The sequence below is a fragment of the Homo sapiens genome, chromosome 4 (genome assembly GCF_000001405.40).
Source record: "Homo sapiens chromosome 4, GRCh38.p14 Primary Assembly".
NCBI lineage: Eukaryota > Metazoa > Chordata > Mammalia > Primates > Hominidae > Homo > Homo sapiens.
This window is the reverse complement of record NC_000004.12, coordinates 6,718,487-6,743,730: the sequence shown is the minus strand read 5'-3', so window position 1 is coordinate 6,743,730 and position 25,244 is coordinate 6,718,487. Positions and strand designations below refer to the sequence as shown.

The following is a 25,244-nucleotide window of genomic DNA, read 5'->3' as shown; positions in this document are numbered from 1 at the left end:
ATTTGGGAGGCTGAGGTGGGAGGATTGCTTGAGCCTGGGAGGTGGACGTTGCAGTGAGCTGAGATCATGCCACTGCATTCCAAGCTGGGTGACAGAGCCAAACCCTGGAAGAAGAAGAAGGAGAAGGAGAAAGAGAAGGAGAAGAGGAGGAGGAGGAGGACAAAGAAGAAGAAAGAGGAGGAGGAGGAGGAGGAAGAAAAAGAAGAAGGGGGAGGGGGAGGAGGAGAGGAGGAAGAGGAGAAGGAGAAGGAGAGGAAGGGGAAGGGGAAGAAGAATAATTCTAGCAAGAAAAATTTTAACAAAATGTCTTTGGAATGGAAAAAAAGAGCTGGCAACGCTAAATTGTCCACACAACACTTTTCCTTTCTCCTGCTCTGGGAACCCTAGGGCCCATGACCTGGCAAGCTTGTTTGGTGGTGACAGTGTTGATGGCTGAAGCGAGGCACCTTCACGTTAATTGGGGTTTCCACAGCCAACATGTTTTCAGGCATGCGATCTGGGTGGAGAAGGCGCCCCCAGCCTGTGGGGAATGGACACCAAGTCATAGTGGGCATCCTCAGCAGGTTTCTGCCTCTGCACCTGCCCACCCTGGGGTGGCTCCGTGGAGGGGAACATACGGGAGGAGGCACGGGCCAGAGGGCCTGAGCCCTGGGAACGAGGTCCACAGAGTCACGAAGGGGTGGGGAGGTCAGGCCGGCTCCCCAGAGGTTCTCACTGGTCTCACCTGTGTGCCTCGTTCCTGCTGTTGACTCCGAATAACAAGGAAGGATCATTGTCAACTACCAGCTGTCGTTCCCAGCTAAGTTTAGGCTCTAGTCATTGGGAATTGGGGTTGGTGTTGGGACAGTGGGAAGGTGACAAGGGAAATGGCTAAATTCAATGGGTTAAAAATGACAAACACATAGAATTTATTATAACAGCAATACAATAAAGCAAATAAAAATTTAAAAAATAGAAACAGAAAGAAAAAACACCTCTATTCTCACCTTAACACAAGGACTTATGTTTTGATGAAGTTTCGATTTGCCTAAGCATAAAAATAACCTACTTTCTTTCCTGATTTTAAGAGTTGGATGGCTTTGTGGTAGTGAAGACGTTTAATAAAAGAGGTGAAAAGAAAAAAAAGTGACTTATTGTACCACAAGTTAAAGACAATCATTATTAACATGTTGGCATATTTCCTTCCAATCTTTATTATTAAGGTCTGTCCTTCCTTCCTTCCTTCCTTCCTACCTTCCTTCCTTCCTTCGTTTCTTTTTGCTTTTCTAGAGACACCCTCTATCACCTGGGGACTGGAGTGCAGTGGCGCAATCATAGTTCACTGCAGCCTCAAACTCCTGGGCTCAAGCAATCCTCCCACCTCAGTCTCCCAAGTAGTAGAGACTACAGGCATGTGCCACCACACTCAACTAATTGTCTTTTTTTTTTTTTTTTTTTTTTTTTGGAGAGATGGGATCTCACTTTGTTCCCCAGGCTGTACAAACTCCTGGGATCCTTAAGGCGATCCTCCCGCCTTGGCCTCCCAAAGTGCTGGGACTACAATCATGCACCACCTTGCCTGGCCTGAGCCACTATGCCCAGCCTATGTTTTTCTTTTCTTTTCTTTTTTCTTTCTTTTCCTTTTTTTTTTTTTTTGAGATGGAGTCTTGCTCTGTCACCTGAGCTGGAGTACAGTGGCATGATCTCAGTTCACTGCAACCTCTACCTCTTGGGTTCAAGCGATTCTCTTGCCTCAGCCTCCCGAGTAGCTAGGATTACAGGCGTGCCCCACCACGCCTGGCTAATTTTTGTATTTGTTTGTTTGTTTGTTTGTTTGAGGTGGAGTCTTGCTCTGTCGCCCAGGCTGGAGTGCAATGGCGCAATCTCGGCTCACTGCAAGCTCCACCTCCCGGGTTCACGCCATTCTCCTGCCTCAGCCTCCCGAGTAGCTGGGACTACAGGCACCCGCCACCGCGCCCAGCTAATTTTTTTGTATTTTTAGTAGAGACGGGGTTTCACCGTGTTAGCCAGGCTGGTCTCGAACTCCTGATCTCAGGTGATCTACCTGCCTCGGCCTCCCAAAGTGCTGGGATTATAGGCGTGAGCCACTGCACCCAGCCAGCCTATATTTTTCATAATTATATCATACATGACATTGTAGCAATTTTCATACACAGTTTCATGGTCTTTTTCACTAAAAATCATGGACTGAACTGTTTCACGCTGTTAAAAGTATTTGAAAAGATTTTATTGCTGTGCCTCTCTAATAGAGTTTAAGCATATACTGCATGAAACTTTTGTATCCTGCTTGTTTCACTTATTCTACCCTTTACTGCTTGCAATATCATACAGTTTTAACATAGCCCTCCTTGTAAGTGACATATGCAAATGCATCCGTGAGTGGATGGCCATAATCCTCTTGATGGACAGGTCTTTGCTGTTATAAATGATGCTGCAAAACACCCTTTTATAAGTCAAATGTTTCCTCTGGATAGGTTCCTATACATAGGTTTATCAGGAAAGAGTATGACTAATGTTGAGGTTCTGTTTAAGAGTCATTTTGCACAATTTGCCTTCATAATTTTGTAGGTGTGAAAATGAGCAGCAATCAACATTCTTTTGACATTGGCCAGGCGCGGTGGCTCATGCCTGTAATCCCAGCACTTTGGGAGGCTGAGGCGGGTGGACCACCTGAGGTCAGGAGTTCGAGACCACCCTGGCCAACATGGTGAAAGCCCATCTCTAATGAAAATACAAAAAATTAGCCAGACATGGTGGTGCACGCCTATAATCCCAGCTACTCAGGAGGCTGAGGCAGAAGAATCGCTTGAACCCAGGAGGCGGAGGCTGCAATGAGCTGAGACAGAGCCATTGCACTCCACCCTGAGTGATAAGAGCGAAACTCCTGTCTCAAAGCAACAATAACAACAACAATAAAATTCTTTTGACATAAAACTAGAAAGTCCAGTACATTATTAGGAATAAATAAGTAAATAAATAAAAACAGCAGCAGAAAAAACCCTAGAGTTTCACTCTTGCAAGATACAATCTTGGAATCTTGGAATCCCAGTCATCCTCACTAAGCTTTGTGGGAGCAGGGAGAAACCCAAGTAGGAACAGCAAGGGAAATGTGTGTCCAAGCCAACTGAGGGGCGAAGACGTCTCCTCGGAGGCCTGTGCTCACCTGCACGTGGGGGTGCATGACCGCCAGACAGCAGAGTCAGCGCACGGCTGGGGAACTCGCAGGGAAGCCACTTCATCCATGTCCCAGGACAACCACAGAAAAATTGGATTGCTGCCCCAAATCTGACAGCTATTTGCATTTTGCATCTTTTCCCTGCATTCCTTCTGTGTGTTCTCTGCATTTCCACACTGTCATCTATGAAAATACATGACACTGGTAGTCAGGGAATAAATGTCTCCTTTCAAAACATTTTCTATTATGGTAAAATATATGTCTTGTATTAATATTAGTCTGATTTCACATTGCTATAAAGAACTGCCTCAGACTGGGTAAATTATAAAAGAAAGAGGTTTAATTTATTCACATGGCTGGGAAGGCCTCAGGAAACTTACAATCATGGCGGAAGGCGAAGCAGGCACATCTTACATGGTGGCAGGCAAGAGAGAGCATGTAAGAGCAGGGAAAACTGCCTTATAAGACCATCAGATCTCATGAGAACTCACTCACTATCACGAGAACAGCTTGGGGGAAACCACCCCCATGACCCAATCATCTGCCACCAGGTCCCTCCCTCAATACCTGGGGACTACAATTCGACATGAGATATGGGTGGGGACACAAAGCCTAACCATATCACATTTACATCATGTAACATAAAATTTACCATTTTTACCATTTTAACCACTCTAAGTGTCCAGTTCAGTGGCATTAGGTACATTCACAACACTGTATAACCATCAACGCTATCTATTTCCAGAACTTTTTTTCATCATCCCAAACAGAAACTCTGTACCCATTGAACAATAACTCCCTATTTCTTCCTCCCCACTGGTAACCTCTATTCTATTTCCTGTGTCTATAAATTTGTCTATTCTAGGAACCTTATATAAGTAGAATAATACAATATTTTTCTTTTCGTGTCTGGCTTGTTTCACTTAGCGTAATGTCTTCAAGATGCATCCATGTTGTAGCATGTATCAGAAGTTCATTCCTTTTTACAGAAAAATAATATTTCACTGTATGCATATACTGCATTTTGCTTATCCATTCATCAGTTGCTGGACACTCAGGTTGCTTTCATCTTTTGGTTTTTGTGAATAATTCTGAACACTGGTGTACAAGTATCTGTTCGAGTCCCTGCTTTCGGTTCTTTTTGGTATATATCTAGGAATGAAATTTCTGGATCATATGGTAATTCTATGCTTAACTTTCTGAGAAGCTGCCAGACTATTTTCCACAGCAGTTTCATGACTAAATGTCATTTTGAAAAATTTATCTTAGCCAGGCATGGTGGCTCATGCCTGTAATCCCAGCACTTCGGGAGGCGAAAGTGGGTGGATCACCTGAGGTCAGGAGTTCAAGACCAGCCTGACCAATGTGGTGAAATCCCATCTCTACAAAAAATACAAAATTAGCCGGGTGTGGTGGCAGGCGCCTGTAGTCCCAGCTACTCTGGAGGCTGAGACAGGAGAATTGCTTGAACCCAGGAGGCAGAGGTTGAGTGAGCTGAGATTGTGCCACTGCACTCCAGCCTGGATGGACAGAGTGAGACTCTGTCTCAAAACAAAAAGAAAAAAGAAAAATTTATCTTTAATATTGGTAAGATGTCAATACAACCCAAAGTGATCTACAGGTTCAGTGCAGTTCCAATCAAAATACTAATGACATTTTTTTCGTAGAAATAGGAAAATCCTTCCTAAAATTTATGTGGAATCTCAAAGGATCCCAAATAGTGAAAAAATCTTGGAAAAGAACAAAGGTCAAAATCTCACCCTTCCTGATCAAAATTTACTACAAAGCTACAGTTATCAAAACAGTGTGATACTGATATAAAGACAGACATATAAATCAATGGGATAGAATAAAGATCCCAGTATTTTTTTAATATATATATAAATGTATATAATATATATTTAAATATATAATATATTAATATATATTATATATATTTATATATTGTTATGTACAATAATTATATATTATATAAAATAATTATATATTATTATATATAATAGTTATATATTATATATATTAAAATTTTTTCAATGACTTTTTCCAATGAACGTTAGCTAAAGTGTCAAGACCATTCAATGGGCTAAAGGATAGTCTTTATAACAAATGGTGTTGAGAAAACTGGGTATTCACATGTAAAAGAGTAAAACTGGACCCTCAGTTTATACCCTGTACAAAAATTATTAAAAATGGATCAAAGATCTAAATGTATGAGCTGAAACTATAAAACTCTTAGCAGAAAACATAGAGGAAAAGATTCATGATATTGAATCTGGCAATGATTTATTGGCTATGACACCAAAGCACAGGCAACAAAAGAAAAAATAGATAAACTGGACTTCATCAAAATTAAAAACTTTGTGCATCAAAGGACACTATTAACACACTGAAAAGGCAACCCATGGAATGGGAGAAAAAGATTGCAAATCACATATCAGATAAGAGATTAATATCCAGAATATATAAAGAACAACCACTCAACAACAAAAAACAAACAACCCAATTAGGAAATGGGCCAGAAGCGTTGGCTCACGCCTGTAACCCCTCCCAGCACTTTGGGAGGCCGAGGTGGGTGGATCACTTGAAGTGAGGAGTTCGAGACCAGCCTGACCAACATGGTGAAACCCCGTCTCTACTAAAAATACAAAAACTAGCTGGGCATGGTGGCAGGCACCTGTAATGCCAGCTACTTGGGAGGCGGAAGCAGGAGAATTGCTTGAACCACGGAGGCAGAGGTTGCAGTGAGCTGAGATTGCACCACTGCACTCCAGCCTGGGCGACAGAGCAAGACTCCCTCTCAAAAACAACAACAACAACAAAAGCAATTAAGAAATGGACAAAGAACTTTTCTCCAAAGATATACAAATGGCCAATAAGCACATAAAAAGATGCTCAACATCACTGATCATTAGGGAAACGCAAATCAAAACCACAATGAGATAGTGCTTCACAACCATTAGGATGGCTATTGTAAAAACAAACAAACAAACAAACAAACAAACACAGAAAATTACCAGTGTTGGTGAAGATATGGGGAAAATAAAACTGAAGATAGGGAGAAATACCTGGTGCTAGCATAGCTGGTGGCAGTGTTCTATGGTGCTCCCACTGTAGAAATGAGTATGGCAGTTCCTCAAAAAAAACAAGCTGCATGTGGTAGCTCATGCCTGTAATCCCAGCACTTCGGGAGGCTGAGGCAGGAGAATTGTTTGAGTTCAAGACCAGCCTGGGCAACATAACGAGACCCTGTCTCTACAAAAAATTTAAAAATTTTAAAAATTAAACACAGAGTTACCATATGATCCAGCGATTCTGCTTTTGGGCATATAGCCAAAAGAACTGAAATCAGGGACTCAAATAGATATTTGTATACCCCTGCTCACAGCAGCATCATTCACCGTAACCAAAATGTGGAAACACCCAAATGTCCATTGACAGATGAATAGATAAGCAGAATGTAGTATATTCACACACTAGAATGTTATTCAGCCTTAAAAAGGAGGAAAATCACTCCCAGCATCGTGGCTCACGCCTGTAATCCCAGCACCTTGGGAGGCCAAGGAGGGAGGATGGCTTGAGCCCAGGAGTGCGAGACCAGCCAGGGCAACATGGGGAAACCCAATCTCTACAAAAAAATAAAAATTAGCCATTTGTGGTAGTGAGCGCCTGTAGTCCCAGCTACTCCAGAGGCTGAGATGGGAGGATTGCTTGAGCCTAGAAGGTTGAGGCTGCAGTGAGCTGAGATCATGCCAGCCTGGGTGACAGAGTGAGACCCTCTCTCAAAGAAAAAAAAAGGGGGAAATTCTGACCCATGCTACAACATGAATGAACCTTGAAGACATTATGCTAAATGAGACAAGCCAGTCACAAAAGAACAAATACTGCAGGATTCCACTTACATGAGGTTCTTGGAGTTGTCAAATTCATAAAGATAAAAAGTAGAATGGTGGGTCCCAGGGCCTGGGTGAGAGAGGAATGAGTGTTAGTGGTTAATGGGGACAGAGTTTCAGTTGGGGAAATTGAACAAGTTCGGGAGATGGGTGAGGAGGTGATGGCTGCGCAACACTGTAAATGTACTTTTTAATTTATTTTATTTATTTGTTTGTTTATTTTCGAGATGGAGTCTCGCTCTGTCGCCCAGGCTAGAGTGCAGTGGCGCGATCTCAGCTCACCACCAGCTCTGCCTCCCGGGTTCACACCATTCTCCTGCCTCAGCCTTCCAAGTAGCTGGGACTACAGGCGCCCGCCACCACGCCTGGCTAACTTTTTGTATTTTTTGTAGAGATGGGGTTTCACTGTGTTAGCCAGGATGGTCTCAATCTCCTGACCTCGTGATCCACCCACCTTGGCCTCCCAAAGTGCTGGGATTACAGGCATGAGCCACTGTGCCTGGCCTATTTTTTATTTTTTTGAGACAGAGTCTCGCTCTGTCGCCCAGGCTGGAGTGCAGTGGCACAATCTCGGCTCACTGCAACCTCCACCTCCTGGGCTCAAGCAGTTCTCGTGCCTCAGCCTCCTGAGTAGCTGGGATTACAGGCATGCACCACCATGCCTGGCTGATTTTTGTATTTTTAGTAGAGATGGTGTTTTGCCATGTTGGCCAGGCTGGTCTCAAACTCCTGACCTTAGGTGATCTGCCCGCCTTGGCCTCCCAAAGTGCTGGGATTACAGGCATGAGCTACTGCACCTGGCCTGTGAATGTACTTACATTTTTTTTTTTCAGAGACTGGGTCTTGCTGTGTTGCCCCAGCTGGAGTGCAGTAGTGTGATAATAGCTCATTGCAGCCTCGAGCTCCTAGGTTCAAATGATCCTCCCACCTCAGCTTCCTGAGTTGCTGGAGCCAAAGGTGTGTGCCACCAGGCCCAGCTAGTTTTTATTTTTTTGTACAAGGTCTCACTGTGTTGCCCAAGCTGGCCTTGAACTCCTGGCCTTAAGTGGTCCTCCCACCTCAGCTGGGATTACAGGCACGAGCCACTGTGCCTGGCTGTGAATGTACTTAAGGTCCCTAGAATGCTACACTTAAAATGGTTAAAATGGTAAATTTTTAAGGCTTGTATATCTGACCACAATAACAAAATATTTACCTATCTATCATTTATGTATCTAGTTTCTTTCTTACACCATTCTGACCTTGTCTTCATTACGGCCTCCTCCTAGGATGTGCTACCTTGCCAGGGCCTGCAGACAACCACCTTCAACCAGCCCTCCCCTCCCAGCCCCTTCACCTGGAACGACGCAGAGTCTAGGTCCTGGGAAGTGCTGTAGTAATCAGGACGTGGAGCTCCTTAGTGTATATTTGACATCTCTTAAATGTCTCCGGAGTCTACAGTGTGCCGGGCACTTCCTGGCCATCTTGCTTGATCCTTGAGACAACTCCAACAGAAAACATTATGATCCTCGTTTTACGGATAGTAAACCTTGGGCTCACAAAGGTTAAGTGACGTGCCCAAGGTCATAGAGCTAGAAGTATGATCTGAACCAGGTCTGCTAATGCCTACGCCTTTTCCAGTCTGAGGGATCTTCATTGACTCTGGAAGATACCCAGGAGTGAACCTTCTTGGGAGTTTGGTAGTGAACTCCCTGTCTCTGGAGGTGAACAAGGAGAGACTGGGTCATGACAGAACGTGGATGCAGCAGAGCTGTCCCATGCATCGGGCAAGGGCTTAGACTGGAGAACTCTACGATCCCTTCCAGCTCTGAAAGATTTGATTGTAATTGAGGGCCAGAGAAGACACGTGACTTGCTCCAAGTCACGCAGCTGAAACCCAGGTCTCCTGATTGCTGACTGAAAATCTGAGAAAGAGGGATGGTACACGGCAGGTACGCAGCTAATGTATGGAATCAGTTGAGGACCCTGGAGACACAACTGTGAATGTATTCATTCAGTCAATGAGTAGTTGGCTGAGTTGTCTGAGTCATCACCACGTGTGAGACCCGGAAGATGTGCACCTCTGCGGGCGGACAGTGAAGGGAGCACGTTCCTAATGGAGGGAACAGCTCTTGTCAAGGCTTGGGGTGGGCGCAGGAGGCAAGGCAGAGGGCGGCTGGGTGAGGCCAGGGTCAGCAGCTGTGACATCTGGTTGATGATTTGGGTCTTGTCCCAAGGCTGGTGCCCTGACCCTTTGTGGCCATGGCCTTCTGAGACTCTATTGTGTGAGGAGCAGAGTGTGAAATGAGGTTGGGGAGGGGGACAAAGAAGCCTCAAGGAAGGAGCGTCACCAACGTGGCACGTTTCAAACTGGTGGGATTCTCATCCCCCGCTTCATGGACCTCCTTGTCTTCTGGGATTTCCTACCTCGTGGAGGCTGAGCAATTCTATCACCCTGAAACAGAACAAGCCGACACCACAGATGAGGAAGGGCGGTCCTCTCTCCCAATCCACACCCACACATGGTGTCCTCCACCTCCTCCCCTCATCCCCTCCTTCCGTCCTTTGCTCGCTGGAGCTGCTGTTACACGGGGCTCCTGCCTCAGGGCCTTTGCAGGGGCTGTTCCCCCACCTGGAAAGTTCTTCCTGCAGAAACCGTCATGGCTTGTGCCCTCACCTCATTCCTCTCTGTGTTCAGAGGTCACCTGCTCGGGCTGGTCCTTTCTGGGTCCCCTCTAAAATTCCCATCCCCGTCGCTTCCTAGTCCCTTGCTCTGCTCAACTCTTTTCTCATTGGCACCGATCCCTCTCCGATCCCTGCTCCGCAATCACTATTTACTCCCCATGTGCGTTTGATCATTTGTGACTCTTGTTGATGATCCCGCCCTCTGGAAGTAAGGACGATGGGGCAGGATTCTGTTTGCTTTGGTCATGGCTCTGTCTCCCGCCCTGGGGCAGGACCTTGTACACAGCAAGCACTCGGCAAATATTTGTTGCACAAATGAGTGGGTTTCACACGTGAGTTTTGCAGAGGGAAAGCCCAAATTCACCCGCTCTGACCCCTGAACTCCAGCCTGCTCTCAGGAGAAGCAAATTCTCCGCGTGCTCTCAAGCTGTCCTGTCCGTGTGTATATGTGCGTCGGAGGGCCAGGTGGGCTTTCCCCCAGCAGCGGCAGGCAGGAGGCGTCCTCTTCTTCAAGGCTCCAGGGCCACCTCCTCTGAGGTTTGGTGAGCACAGAGGGAACCCCGTGTGCACCGGGCTGACCGCACACTGCCACTCACTGAACTCCCCTGGAGATCCCAGCAGGTGGCCAGAGGGGAGACTGAGGCCTAGAGAGGGTAAGACACCTGCCCAGGGCCACCCTGTTAGAAACTGGCAGGGCCAGGACTGGGCCTCAGGTCCGTCTGGGGACCCTCCTGCCCACCCTGTGCTGGTCTTCAACGGGCCGGTTTTTCAGGGAGTCCTGTGGCATCACCCAGCAGCTTGCTGGTTCTGAGGAGTGTGACGTCTCTCCAGAGAGGTCTGGGGGCCCAGTGCAAAGATCACAGGCCTGCACCACCCTACGTGTGCGTGACCCCAAGCAGGTCAGCCTCTCTGGGCCTCAGTTTCCTCAGCTGTGAAATGAAGGACTTGGCTGGGCTGACTTTCAGTTCCTGTTTGGTTCTGAGCATCCTAGCTTTTTCCCATGCCCGAGGCTTCCCTGAGAAGGAGGCACTTTTCCAACAGGTTGACTGTACCTGGCTCCCTGGGCCAGGAGCTGGAGGCTTTAAAAGCAAAATAAGAACTTGGTGAGTCCTCCCGGGCTGCTCCCGCCTGCCTTCCTGCGGCCTGGCCACTGCGGGCTGCCTGGAGAGCTCCCAGCCATCAGCCCACGCCCAGCTGCAAGAACAGCTGAGTCACCCTGACGGGGCCAGTCACCCTGAGATCCAAGCAGGCCTCAGCAGAGCCGAGTGACCACCTGGGCTGGCCCAATTCGGTGCTTGGCTCTCTGGAAGGGCACCTTCATGAGAAGCCACTAGGTCAGACAGGGCCCCCCGTCCCCAGCACTGGGGAGAAACCACAGCGGCAGCCCCTCAGGATGCAGAGAGACCTGGGGGTCCCCTCGGGGTCCCTTCTGGTTACCAGCACTTTAGGCTTAAGCAGAAAGTGTCGTGGGCCCTTGTTTCTTAGGTTTGATGTCAAGAAAGCAGAAGGTGGATTTGGAGCGTAATATCTGGAGATCCATGAACCGGGAGGATCAGAGATCCTACCCATGATCCTACCCATGGGCGCGGTGGCTGATGCCTGTATTCCCAGCACTTTGGGAGGCCAAGGCAGGTGGATCACTTGAGGTCAGGAGTTCAAGACCAGCCTGGTCAACATGGTGAAACCCTGTCTCTGCTAAAAATACAAAAATTCGTAGGGCGTGGTGGCATGCGCCTGTAATCCCAGCTATTCTGGAGGCTGAGGTGAGAATCGCTTGGACCCAGGAGATGGAAGTTGCAGTGAGCCAAGATCGTACCATTGCACTCCAGCCTGGGTGACAGAGTGAGACTCCATCTAAAAAAAAAGAAAGAAAAGGAAAGGAAAGAAAAGAAAAGAAAAGAGATCCCACCTGTGCACCCATTGAAGACCAGTGCACCGTGTGCATGGGGGCCCCCAGACAGGCCTGCGGCTGAGTCCTGGCCCTGCCACCTTCTAACAGGGTGTCCCTGGGCAGGTGTCTTACCCTCTCTGTGCCTCAGCAGGAGAAGTCATAATAACAGAAATAATGGCGATGTTGCCTGGCCAGTGAGCCCTGTGCCCTCCTGGCCATCCCCGTCTCTTGATCTCTCCCTGACTCTGTCTGCAGGGTACCCCCTCTGCAGAAGGCCTCCCTCACCCTCCCCTGCCTCACTGGGTCTGTGCTCCCATCACTGCCCGCGCCCTTAAACCCGGGACCCTCTTTACCGTTCCACCTTCACTAGCACGGCGGGTCCCTGAAAGCAGCCCCTGCTCTGCACCCCGTTCTTTTCTCGGGGCCTGTGGCAGTGCCTGCACGCCAGCTGAACTCGGCAGACATAACTGAGCACAGAAAGTGTCCTGTGCAGTAAGTTTACTTTCAACAATTTTTCAGAGAGGTGTGTAACTTCTCCAAGAGTACACAGCCGGAAAAAGGCAGAATTTGAACTGGCCTCCTCCTAGGAGTTGGCTCTTCTTGTTCCATGAATCTCAGAGCCAGCTGCACATGAGGAGAGGCGCCTGTGTGTGCTTCTGTCTGTGGGACGGGGCGGCTACAGGCATGAGCTCCAGGGGCAGGGACCCTGAACTGGCGAATACCGTGCTGTCATTGTGGAACCAGAGGGTGAGAGCCCCTTGTCTCTCCCAAAGGGTCCCCTTCCTCCTCTAGGCAACCCTAACATCTTGTACAAAATGCTACCAGTAAGCGCAGTGGGGAGGCTATAATTAGGGCAGCCCAGATTTACTGGGTAGACTAGGAGACCCTGGCGAATTTCACCCCTCTGAGCAAAGGCCCTGTCACCTGGCCATTGGAGGCAATAAGACCCGCCCCCACCCCCATCTGATGATCGCACTTCCGCTACAAGCTCTCTGACAAAGGGTGGCCCACCCTCGGCTTGCACATGTCCAGTGGCTGGGAACCGCTCTACTTCCCCAGGGTGACAGATGGTGAGCAGTGACTTCTAATAGGTAGCTTCGATCCCAACCCCGCCAGGAGGCTGAATCCCTTTGGGCCCCAAGAACTGGAGAGCTCCACAAATTCGAACAACTCAGAGCGAGCGAGCTGTTTTCTCCTGAACATTGAGAGAGCTTGCTTGTTTGGGAAGACAGATTCAAAGGCAGATTCTTCGCTGGCAGAGTTATTTCTTTGGCAGTTATCTGCCTTGAGCAGAAGTGGCTTTGGGACACCCAGACAGCCCTGCAGGCTTGTGAGCCCAGATAAATGTCAAGTCCACGCCCACGGTAGGCTACGACAAAACACCCTGGGTGGAGGAGGCGAGTTTAGAGGTGGCTACTGCGACACTGAAGACAATTTTCTTCCCCAAACGAGTTGGGTTGTTCTCGTGTGATCCTAGCCAGATGGCAAGAAGATACCACTAAGGGCATTTAGAGAAAATCTTAAACGATTTTGTTTGACTTTAAAAAATCCATTCTCGGAGCTCAGCAAATGAAGTCGTTTTTCTTTCCTGCTTTTTTTTTTTTTTTTTAACTCTGATGTCATTTTGTTTTTTCTCAAAAATTTTTCACATTACAAACATCGTGTGTGTCTATTGTAGATAGCATGAAAAACTCAGTGCAACATAAAGAACAAAATAAAAATAATCTTCGATCCATCACCCAGAAACAACTGCTGTTATAATAACGTTTGGATGAACTCTGTTTCTCATCAGTAGAGTTATACTTTTATCACTTTTTTTATTTTTTATTTATTTATTTTTTGAGACAGAGTCTCACTATTTTGCCCAGGCTGGAGTGCAGTGGTGTAATCTAGGCTCACCGCAACCTCCGCCTCCCAGGTTCAAGCGATTCTCATGCCTCACCCTCCCGAGTAGCTGGGACTACAGGTGTGCACCACCATGCCTGGCTAATTTTTGTATTTTTCGTAGAGACAGGGTTTCACTGTGTTGGCCGGGCTGGTCTCAAACTCCTGGCCTCAAGCAATCCGCCCACCTTGGCTTCTCAAAGTGCTGGGATTACAGCCGTGAACCACCACGCCTGGCCAAGTTATACTTTTAAAAAAAGAGTACATAGGTTCACAGAATAGGCAGTGAGAAAACAAAATTTAAAAAATGAAACAAAGAGCACATTCTATCTCTTCTATCCACTGCATCTGAAGGACAGAGCTGCCAATGAGACGGACAAGGTCTACCCTCTTAGAGCTTGCAGCTTAGAGGGGAGACAGAAAATAAACATATAAGTTAACATTCGGATTGTTTCCAATTTTCCTCTGTTACAAACACCACTGCAGTGATTTTAGCCAAGTGTCTGAATACTCATGCGTTGATTGCCTGAGAAACTCTCTAAAAGTGGGATTTATGAGATGGGTTTTTTGCATTCCATAAAAAATCTCTGTAATGATCACCTTTATGCATATTTGTATGAAAATTATGTTGATATTATCTGATAAGTACCTCTTCTGCCTGCATTAGACACTTTTCAATATAGATTTTTTAGATCAGAAGGGATTTTACAGGGTTTCTGTCTAGGCGAACCCCTCATCCCTCTCCAGCATCACAGCTTACATAACCCCAGGAATGGAGAGCTCACTCCTTCCTCAGAAAGTTCATTCTATTTGCATGGCTCTGCCTCTGGGAAACGTTCCTTTATATTGACATAAAACAGATCCTCCTGGGCTTCCACTAGTGACCCCGGTTCCTGAGCCTGCACAGAGCAGATCCAGGCCTCATCCCCGCACCCACCCTGCTGGGCTGGAGGTCAGCTCCACAGCCCCTCGAGGTCCTCCCTTTATGCGCACTGCTTGCCTGGCTCTCACCCACTGCTGAACGGCAGTTCCTTTCTTGGGACTCCACTCCAGGACTGCCTCGCCTCCCCCAGGGAGGCTTCCCTGACCACCCCTCCCCAGGGAGTAGTGGGCTCTGCACCTGGCCTCTGTCCCTGCCTCCATGGAAGCCCTTCTCATGGCCTGCCCCCCCTCCCTGGGCTGCACCCTGCCACAGGGCCATCTCTGCAGGCAGCAGGCACTGGATGAAAACCTGTTGCATGAATGAGTGGAGGACGGGATTCTAGTGTCTGTATCTCTGACAACTTCCGTGACTGCGGCATTCCCTGTGTTGGATGCAGGCCACTGTCCTCCACTGTAAAATGGACACACAATCAGCTTTCTGCTCTTGTTGGTCCACTTGTTAGTTTACTTAACAAGAAGTGCTCACTCAACAAGTCCTGGGAGCCCACACTGTCCTGGGAACTGAGGACACAGGGCAAGCAGGGCAGGACAGGTCCTGGCCCCGGGGTGCTCCAAGTCTAATGGAAATAGGTAAATAAGCATTAGCTCCATCAGTGAGGTCTAGAAAGGAGCTATGCAGGCACTGGACAGAGAATTCCAGGGAAGCAGCTCCTAATGTGGCGGGGGCAGCCACCCAAGGAAGTGGGTGTTCCAGCGGAGGACGATCCAAATGCGGCGGGGCAGCTGCCCAGGGAAGTGGGTGTTCCAGCGGAGGGCGATCTTCACGTGAAAAAGCCAGGGGCAGGATTCCAGGCCCAGGGAACAGCAGGTGTGAAGGTCTTGAGGTGGGACAAAGCCAGGGTGACCCCAAAAATGGATGAGAGGCCATGGGACTGGCCTTGGCATATTCATTAAATCAAGGTTCATCGAGCAGCGGTGTGTGCCAGGCCTGGGGCTGATGGTGCGTTCTGGGTACCCTGGAGAGGAGCCTGCCCCACCACTGCTCTGGAAGGGCTTAGAGGTGAATGCGGAAGATCAGATGATCAAATATGTATATATGTGTATGGCAAGGATTCCTGCTAAAGGGGAAACTCAGTCTCTCTCCTGCCTATGTCCCCTGGTCTCATTAAGTAATTGATCTAGTGAATCATTGCTTCATGGATTCATAGATTTACTTCTTAATTGCATGGTTAGTTAGTTCATTCATTCATCTAACAGATCTTGATTGTGGCTTCCTCTGAGTCAGGCACTGTGTGGGGTCTGGGGAATGGATGTGAACAAGACGGACGCCTCCTTGATCCTGGGAAACATACCCTCTAGAGGGGCGAGACAAGGACAAATACACAGAGGAACTCCAACAAGACCGATGAGACTACAGAGACAGGAAACAAGAAAACTTAAGCTTAGGCAAGGAGGAGAGGGGGAGGGGAGGGGAGGGGGTGGGGGAGGAGGGGAGGGGGTGGGGGAGGAGGGGAGGGGGTGGGGGAGGAGGGGAGGGGAGGGGGAAGGAAGGGGACAGGAGGGGGAGGAGGGACAGGAGATGGGGAGGAGGGGCAGGGGAGGTGGACGGGGAGGAAGGGGAGGGGAGGGGGAGGATGGGTGGGGGAAGGAAGGGGAGGAGGACAGGAGAGGGGGAGGAGGGGGAGGGGAGGAGAAGGAGGGGGAGGAGGAGGGGGAAGGGGAGGAGGGGAGTGGGGGAACGAGGAGGAGGCCACCCCAGGAAGATCAGAGGAACAGCTCGTGCAAAGGCCCGGCACCCTGTGGCCTTGGTGAGCGTGCATCCCAGAGGGAGGCCTGCCCTCTCTCAAGGGAGTGAGCAGCAGCAGCCTGCTCGCCGAACACGTGTCTTACCCCTAACAAATCGCCCCTAAGTCAATGGGGCCGCCAACAAAGAGGTGCCCCGGTCTCTGGCCACACACAGCGTGTGCGTCTTCCTGGAAGCCAGCAAAGCGCAGCCTCCCCACGCCCCCGGCTCCCGGGCTGGCACGGCCTCCTCCCTAAGAAGGCCCCAAGGAGCAGGCGGCTGCGCGGTGGGAGAGAGAACAGGGCTGCTTTATGAAAGCCCCACAGGGCGGCCGTGGGCAAACAGAAGGCCCGAGTGTGTCCACGGCGGGCAGGCCGGGAGCTCAGAATAGCTCATTGAGCCTTGGTGGCTGGGCCAAGAGTGCAGCCGGGAAGAAACAGGTCTTTATTAAGGGGAGGCCCGGCACAGCCTGAAACGAAGAATGCTCACGCCAGGCCACCCATCTGCCACCCGGGCTCTGGGAGGCCACACGAGCATGCACAGATGCGGCGAGTCTAAATTCATCGTCCATAGGAAGCTGTCTTACGTGGGAGAACTTACCCCCAGTCTTCCTTCTCTCCTCCTCCCCCAGGACAGAAACAAAATTAAAAATGTTTCCACTGAAAGGTGAATAGTGCCTCACAAAACTCTGTCCTCCTCGCCCCCTGAGCTCAAGGACTCTCCAACAATTTCAGAAAGTAGGTGCCTTGAGTAACCCCATTCTGCAGATAAAAAGACTGAGGGTCAGAGAGCACCAGTAACTTGCCCAAATTCACAGCTAGTAAAATAATGGTACAGGAGGCTGGATGTGGTGGCTCACGCCTGTAATCCCAGCACTTTGGGATGCTGAGGTGGGCACGAGGTCAGGAGGTCAAGACCAGCCTGGCCAACATAGTGAAACCCCATCTCTACTACAAATACAAAAAATTAGCTGGGCATGGTGGGGGGCACCTGTAATCCCAGCTACTTGGGAGGCTGAGGCAGGAGAATTACATGAACCTGGGAGGCAGAGGTTGCAGTGAGCCAAGATCACGCCACTGCACTCCAGCCAGGGTGACAGTGCGAGACTCCATCTCCGAAAAAAAAAAAAAAAATGGAACAGGGATGGAACCAATCTCTGCCTGAATGCCATGCCCATGTATTTTATCACCACAGTGTGTGTGTGTGTGTGTGTGGTACGTTGTGTGTGTGAGGCATGTGTGGGATGCATATGTGCATAATGTTTGTGTGTGTGGTATGTGGCGTGTGTGTACATGATGTGTGTTGTGTGTGCATGTGTGATATGTGGTGTAATGTGTGTGATACACATGCATGCATGCATGTGTACGTGTTGTGTCTGCATGCGTGTGTGGTATGATTGTGTGTGATGTGTGTGCATGCGTGTGTGGTATGATTATGTGTGATGTGTGTGCATGCGTGTGTGGTATGATTGTGTGTGATGTGTGTGCATGTGTGTGCATGTGTGTGTAGTATGATTGTGTGTGATGTGTGTGCATGTGTGTGTGGTATGACTGTGTGTGATGTGTGTGCATGTGTGTGTGGTATGACTGTGTGTGATGTGTGTGCATGCGTGTGTGGTATGATTGTGTGTGATGTGTGTGCATGTGTGTGTGGTATGATTGTGTGTGATGTGTGTGCATGCGTGTGTGGTATGATTGTGTGTTGTGTGCATGCGTGTGTGGTATGATTGTGTGTGATGTGTGTGCATGTGTGTGTCGTATGATTGTGTGTGATGTGTGTGATGTGTGTGCACGCATGTGTGGTATGATTGTGTGTGATGTGTGTGACGTGTGTGCATGTGTGTGGTATGATTGCGTGTGATGTGTGTGCATGTGTGTGGTATGATTGCGTGTGATGTGTGTGCATGTGTGTGGTATGATTGTGTGTGATGTGTGTGCATGCGTGTGTGTATGATTGTGTGTGGTGTGTGTGCATGCGTGTGTGATGTGCGTGATGTGTGTGCGTGTGTGTGTGGTATGATTGTGTGTGATGTGTGTGCATGCATGTGTGATGTGTGTGATGTGCGTGCGTGCGTGTGTGTGCACATGCTGCCTAGTTGTTCCAAGGCACATCCAAAAATTCGACCTGGCCAGGACAGCAGGGGTAGGCCACCAGGCTCACTCACAGCAGCTGGTGGAGAAGCAGTCCCGGGGCCCTGCCTGCCAGTGCCCTGAGCTGGGTGCCTGCTCTTCCGACCACTGTTTCCTTCACGTGTCGGGGCCTCCTGGAGTTTGGTCCATCCCTGGCAGGCTGGTGGGCAGGATGTGGAGCCGAGCCCCGGATTCGGGGGGCCCTGGTCTTCCCAGCCCCTCAAAGGTGGACCCAGTGATGACAGAGCGGCAATGCCCCCGTCCACTGTCCCCAGCCTGTCCTCCCCTTTGTCTTCCTCTAACTGAACACCTTCCTGGTGACACACTGCAAGCCAAGGCCCCAGGAGCAGCCTCTCCCTGCCACCCCGCTCCCACGTGTTCCTTGGCACGTGGTGCTCTGACAGTGCCCCCAGGCACCTGGGCAGGTCCCCACCCCCCTGTCTGTGCAGGCTTTCCTTTCCTGGGGCTCCCTCCCTCGCCTGATGCACCTGGCAGCTTCCTTTGCCCGCTCTGCCAGGGCTCTGCCAAGGCCGAGGCCCAAGGCCGTCTTCGCTGACTCCTCATTGTTGCCCATGCTGTATCCTCTGAGCAGTCCAGCCCCACACGTGTCCCTCTGGCCCTGCTGGTGCTGGCTCGGTGGCCAGTGCTAACTCGGCTGGCCTACCCTCGAGCTGCTCCCTGCTAGGGCAGAGTGGCCACGGTGGGTGTTCCCGTTACTGTGGCTGCAGAGCACATTCATTCAGCTCACAAAGTCTGTGGGTCAGGAATTTGGGCAGGACACAGAGGGAACGGCTTGTCTCTGTGTCATGACGTTTGGGGCCTCCACTGAATGACTCAGAGGCTAGGGCTCGAACATGGAGGCTGGGTCGCTGCCACGCTGGCTGTCTGGGGGGCCTTGGGTCCTCCCACATGGCTCTCTGCACTGTCTTGTCGTGTGGGCTGGCCTGGGCTTCCTTGCAGCGTGGTGCCTGGCTTCTTTCAGAATGAGTGTCCTGAAGGATAGAGGAAGATGGTCAGGAGACCCACGGGGTGGGCCGAGTGTCCAAGTCACGCTGTGCAGAGGACATAGGGATTTGTCGCTCAAGGGCATGTGATCTGCCTATCCCCAGAGCCTGATGCCAGGCTGGCCCCAGCAGGTACTCGGGAGACTTGTGGTGGTCTGTTGAGCTCATGTAGTCCCCATCACAGTCTCCAGATGAGGAAACCGAGGCCCAAAGAGTTGCAATCATTCACTCAAGGGCCTCAGCTCTGGGGACCCTCCCAACTGCACCACGCTGGCCCCCAGTGCCCAGAGACGAGAAGTCCAGGGACCCAAGGCCTGGGTGTCAGTGTTGACATCAGGCAGAGCTGGCCAGGCCCCTCTTGGGGTATGTGGAGAAATGCTTGAACTTTGGCAGGTTCCAAGCACAGAGCAGGGTCAATGCATACTTGTGATGAGCGTGTGTCCTTACAGTCATGCTCTGTCACCCGGTGACTCCCTCGTCCCCCACCAACTTCAGTCAGGGACAGCCTTAGGGATCTGTGGCAGTGTGGTACAGACTGCGGTGCAGACTGGGCCTGTTGCCTGCGGGCAGATCTCAGGATAAACAGGCGGCCACTGAGTGTAACTCCACTCTGATGAGTTACTCCCAGTGAAGTCCCCAGTGGCTCCTGTGGTCCCCAGGGTAAAGGTCACAGTCTTTAAAGGTGTAGTCTTTGAAGATCCCACCTGCTCCCTGTCCTCCTTGCCAGCCTCAAGTTGTCAAAGCCTCAGAGGTTCCCACACCCTGAAGTCAACCATCAGCAGAACAAGATGCCCACGCTCTGCAGGCTGCAGGGGTCGAGGCCAGCAACCTGGCTGCAGAGCCCAACTCCTTCGCACCTGGTCTTGGGCCCCAGGTGCTCTCCAGGGCTCTTGGGGTGAAGCCTAAATGCCTTGCTTGGCCTGAACTGGTCCCTCTCTACAAAGCAGCGCCTCTCACTCCCTCCTCATGGCCTGGGAATAACGGGAGAGGGGGAGATGAGTTAGGATGGAGGCTTTGACCGGGATGTAGATAAGCGTGGCTACCCCTGGGCGCCGCTGAGCTGCTCACCAGGCTCTCCTTGTGTGAGGCCAGGAGCCCACTGGGAAGTAACTTGTCGCAGTGGAAGAGAAAGTCATGTGGGTCAAGTGTGGTCACAGGCCAGCAAGCCTGGCTGGAGGGGAAGGGAGACTTGGGCAAGTGGAACATCAGCTTCAGTCGCTCATCAGACCTCTGGCCAGGGCCCCATTGGCGTCAGCCGCTCATCGGACCCCCGGCCGGGGCTCACGGCTCTGCCAGAGCACTGCACTGGGAAGGGGCTGGAGGGTCCAGCCGTACTCACTGGTCGCAACGGCCAAGAGGGGGAAGCAACCCAGGTCCACTGACAGAGTGGCTAAGCCAAGGGGGGCACGCACAGCATGGAGTAGTATTCAGCCCTAAAAAGGAAGGAGATTCTGACACAGGCTACAATGTGGATGAACCCTGAGGACACTATGCTCAGTGGTAGAAGCCAATCACAAAACGATGAATACTGCAGGGTTCCACTTCTGTGAGGTCCCTAGAGTCGTCAAATTCATAGAGACACAAAGTAGAATGGGGGTGCCAGGGGCTGGGGCATGGGGAATAGAGAGCTAGTGTGTGATGGGGACAGAGCCTCACTTGGGGGAGAAGAGAAGGTTCTGAAGATGGATGGGTGGTGATGGTTGTGCATTAATATGTATGTACTTAATGCAAGTAAATTGTACTCTCAAAGTGGATAAAATGGTAATTTATGTTACGTGTATTTTACAATTTTAGAAAAAAGATAATAAAAACTGGCTAAACTGCAAAAAGTCAGTAAGAAAATAAGAACAATTACATTTCCAACTTAAACGTCTTTCTGAACTGTTTTATTTTTTGAGGTAGATACTATTTATTATTTCTCATTCTACAGGTGAGAAATCTGAGCCTTGGAGATGAGAGATAACTCACCTAATGTTATATAGATAGGCAGTGGCAGGACAAAACTTTGGGCCATGTCTGACCACGACGCTATATAATTTGTCTTCTGTTCTAGAGCATTCTTGTGTATGTCAACCCATTCCTAAATCCCGCAGTACATACAACATATCAAGTTTGTTTTTTCTCCCTCCCTCTCATTGGCATTTACCATCTTTCTTGAATTTTGGATCGAATGTCTGAACAAGTTTGTAAAGCAGTAGTGCTGGCAGTTGAAAACTGAAAATCAGCATGTTCCAAACCACTCCTAATTCTCACATCACTAGCAAACACACATACACAGACACACTCACACACACACACCCCTTCCATCTTGCTGGCTCTTATTTCAATTAATAGTGTAACAGGAAACAATCTTCTATTAAGAAAGTCTACCAGAAAGTGTTTTCAAGTCTAGGAATTGCGACAGATATTTAGGGAGTCTGGTGTGTTTGTGTGTGTGTGTGTGTGTGTGTGTGTGCGTGTGTGTTTGAGATGAAGTTTCGCTCTTGTCACCCAGGTTGGAGTGCAGTGGCGCAATGTCAGCTCATTGCAACCTCTGCCTCCTAGGTTCGAGCAATTCTCCTGCCTCAGCCTCCCAAGTAGCTGAGACTACAGGTGTGGGCCACCACACCCAGCTAATTTTTGTATTTTTAGTAGAGACAGGGTTTCATCATGTTGGCCAGGCTGGTCTCGAGCTCCTGACCTCAGGTGATCTGGCCACCTTGGCCTCCCAAAGTGCTGGGATTACAGGCGTGAGCCACTGAGCCCAGCCAACTCTGGTGTTTTTTGTTTTTGCATTTTTTTTTTAACATGAGAAAACACTGAAATGGGTTTTCTGGGTTTTCCAGTACAAGTCTCAGATTGAGACAAAAAAAAAAGAGTAAAATTATTCTGCACACCTAAAGTAATAGGTTGTCTTCTTTAGGTGAGTGAGAGAGAGAGAGAGAGAGAGCGAGAGAGCTGCTTGAAGGCACTAGCAGGCTGCCAGCATCTGAAGAGCTCCTGGACCAGGGTCTCAGGAATGACACAGGCCTGGGGTGGCCTGATGTTTGGGGCTGTTTCCACCTCAGAGACATTTGGTGATTCGGGCGGACACTGGGGCCCTGGGCGATGTTTTTGACGGAGTTGGTGGGGGGTGTGCGCTGGTAAATGTCTCCCTTTGCTTGGGACCCCAGAGGCCTTGGATCCCAGCAGCCAGGGTGAACTGGGAAGAAAAGGAGCACAGGGCAGGTGTGACTCGGGAACAGCACTCAGATGCCGGAGTTGATCCATGAAGGTTCAGCGGACTGAGTGCGCCTACTATGAAACAAATGCTTGTCAGGTCAGACAAGGAGAGTCAAGTCCGATGATATCTTGTTTATGAGCCGCATCTAGAGCGTAAGGATGGAGCAGGGAGGAAGGGGGAAGGTTGGAGGAAGACGCATCCACAGGCCCTGGCCAAGGGAGGCGGGAGCTGGGCTGACGGGGGAGCAGCCTGTGGGCCCTGAAACCCTCCCTGCTCTCCTTGCCAGCACCTGCTCATCCTCAATGTCCCTGTCATTCCCTCAGTGGGTACGTTTTCAGTGCCTTCTCTGTGCTAGGTGCCTGGTACCAGGTGTCACGGATTCAGAGTGGACAAAATGGAAAAACACCACAATCTTCCTCCTCGTTGGGGAGACAGACAAACTGTACATAAATAAATGATCGTGCTCCTTTCGGGGAGAGATAAGAGCCAGGTGGACATAAACAGGCCTTGTCTTCTGCCCCCACCAGACAGGGCACGTCCAAATTAGCACCCTGTCTGCCTCCCTCACCTAATTTCCTCCCCTCCTACCCCCATGCAAATATAGCCACTGTGCCTTGGGCTGCAGCTGCCGTCCCCACTCTGTCTGCACACTGGGAGCCCCTCGAGCATGGACAGGATCTTGGGGCTCTGAATTTCCAGTGCCCAGTGACCGTGGCAGGATATAAGGCTTTAGTTTCCCGAGGACAGGGGCTGGACCAGCTGTTTTCAGGCCTTTCCCGCTCCTGCAGCGCCCCCTGGTGTGGGGGGACCAGTCTCTGCAGCCACCGCGGACCCCACACCCCACAGCCAGAGGGTCCTCGCATCCTTCCTGATGACCAAGTTCCCTCCCACGGGCTCACACCCGACCGCTGGAACCCTTGCTTCCCTTGGACCATGAACAGTATAGAGGAGACGCTCTCATTCTCCATTAGTGGGTCAAATGGTTTCAGTCACTTTGGGAAATGGTGGTTTGTGGTTTTTTTAATTAAATTAATTTTTTTTTTTTTGAGACAGGGTTTTGCTCTGTTACCCAGGTTGGAGGACAGTAGCGTGATCACAGCTCACTGCAGCCTTGAACTCCTGGGCTCAAGTGATCCTCCTGCCTCAGCCTCCTGAGTAGCTGGGACTACAAGGCACGAGCCACCGTGCCTGGCTAATTTTTGTATTTTTAGTAGAGCCGGGGTCTCACTATGTTGCCCAGGCTGGCCTCGAACTTCTGGCCTCCAGTGATCCTCTGGCCTAGGCCTCCCAAAGCCCTGGGAATACAGGCATGAGCCACTGTGCCTGAATCTGGATAACTTCTCAGCACATAAAAGGAGTCTTCTTAGAAGGATAGTTTTGTAAGTTCTGTATCAACATCCCAGGGCACGATTAGGAACAAAGCCCCATTGGAGCCCACGGGAATGTCTGTGTGGTGTTTGACTGAACCTTAGGTTGGACTCAACTGGATTGGGCGTCTGACTTTCTCACCCACTGGCCTGCCCAGCTCTTGGGAAAGAATCACATCTTGTTTTTCTTTGTGTCCTAGTCTTCCCATGGTGCTTGATTTCTGAGCCAGCCCTTAGTCTGACTGAATTCTCCTGTCTGCCTTTCTGTCTCGCATTCCTTATGGAGTGCCTACATTTTGTGTAGTCGTTCATTCACTCAGTCACTCTGACAATCGCTTATTGCACAGATATGTGAGTGTACCAGGGATGTGCTACCTGCTTGCTGAGCATGCAGCCAAGTGGATGCAGCTAACATCCACTTGTTACTCCAGGTGAGTAAGGCAGACAGTCATCAGATAATGACACAAACACATTTCACAAACTGTAACAAGCGCTATGAAGGGGACAGTTCATATGTCCCCTTTCCATATCCTCATATGAAAGATGCTATGGGGCATCTTTCGAGGTCAAGGGAAGGCTGCAGGGGAGTGAGCAAGGGGGCAGGAGCCACCTCAAGCCAGAGAACAGAAATTGGGCTTTATTCTAATATGAAGAGAAGCTAATGAGAGCTTTAGGCAAAGCCCAATATGTCTGATTTATGTTGTTTAAAGACCCCTTTGGCTGATGTGTTACATGCGGGAGTGGCTTGGAGCGGGGAAGGGGAAGCAGGAGACCACTTAAGAGGCTGTTGAGTGGCCCAGGAGAGATGCCAGTGGCTTGGATGGGTTGGGTAGCAGTGGGGATGGACAGAGCACTGGGAATATGCATTGTGGGAGTGCCAAGGTGGATAGGTGGATATTAGTTCTTTTTTCTTTTTTTTCAGACAGAGTCTTGCTCTGTCGCCCCGGCTGGAGTGCAGTGGCGTCATCTCCGCTCCGACTCCCGGGTTCACACCATTTTCCCGCCACAGCCTCCTGAGTAGCTGGGACCACAGGCGCCCACCACCATGCCTGGCTAATTTTTTTTTTTTTTTTTTGTATTTTTAGTAGACAGGGTTTCACCATGTTAGCCAGGATGGTCTCGATCTCCTGACCTTGTGATCCGCCTGCCTCAGCCTCTCAAAGTGCTTGTGAACTACCGCGCCCGGCCCCTAATTACTGCTTTTGAATGTTAACTTTAAGTGAAAAATCTTTTAGCAATGTTTTGTTATGTAAGGATATTTTCATATTCAGTGACTATGTCATCGAAACACATGAATTACTTATAGGGGTACCAGCAGTTGCTGAATATTAAATGTAGGTTACTTGTTCTTTCAGCTTCTACATTCAGAGTTC

The 25,244-nt window shown here is 49.8% G+C and overlaps 5 annotated features.

The window, feature by feature from the left end:
• Positions 8,955-9,249: an enhancer, noted in NCBI's record as "tiled region #12223; HepG2 Activating non-DNase unmatched - State 6:EnhF, and K562 Activating DNase matched - State 5:Enh". NCBI's record gives its function as "activates a minimal TATA promoter and a strong SV40 promoter by Sharpr-MPRA in HepG2 and K562 cells {active_cell/tissue: HepG2 | K562}" and the evidence as "EXISTENCE:reporter gene assay evidence [ECO:0000049][PMID:27701403]".
• Positions 10,081-10,987: an enhancer, noted in NCBI's record as "H3K27ac-H3K4me1 hESC enhancer chr4:6734471-6735377 (GRCh37/hg19 assembly coordinates)". NCBI's record gives its function as "activates a minimal SCP1, AML or CMV promoter by ChIP-STARR-seq in primed H9 embryonic stem cells {active_cell/tissue: H9 hESC(primed)}" and the evidence as "EXISTENCE:reporter gene assay evidence [ECO:0000049][PMID:30033119]".
• Positions 10,081-11,598: a biological region, named in NCBI's record as "MED14-independent group 3 enhancer GRCh37_chr4:6733860-6735059".
• Positions 10,399-11,598: an enhancer, noted in NCBI's record as "MED14-independent group 3 enhancer chr4:6733860-6735059 (GRCh37/hg19 assembly coordinates)". NCBI's record gives its function as "activates an origin of replication core promoter dependent on BRD2, BRD4, P300/CBP and CDK7 cofactors, and independent of MED14, by STARR-seq in HCT116 cells {active_cell/tissue: HCT116}" and the evidence as "EXISTENCE:reporter gene assay evidence [ECO:0000049][PMID:35650434]".
• Positions 16,471-17,050: an enhancer, noted in NCBI's record as "H3K4me1 hESC enhancer chr4:6728408-6728987 (GRCh37/hg19 assembly coordinates)". NCBI's record gives its function as "activates a minimal SCP1, AML or CMV promoter by ChIP-STARR-seq in naive H9 embryonic stem cells {active_cell/tissue: H9 hESC(naive)}" and the evidence as "EXISTENCE:reporter gene assay evidence [ECO:0000049][PMID:30033119]".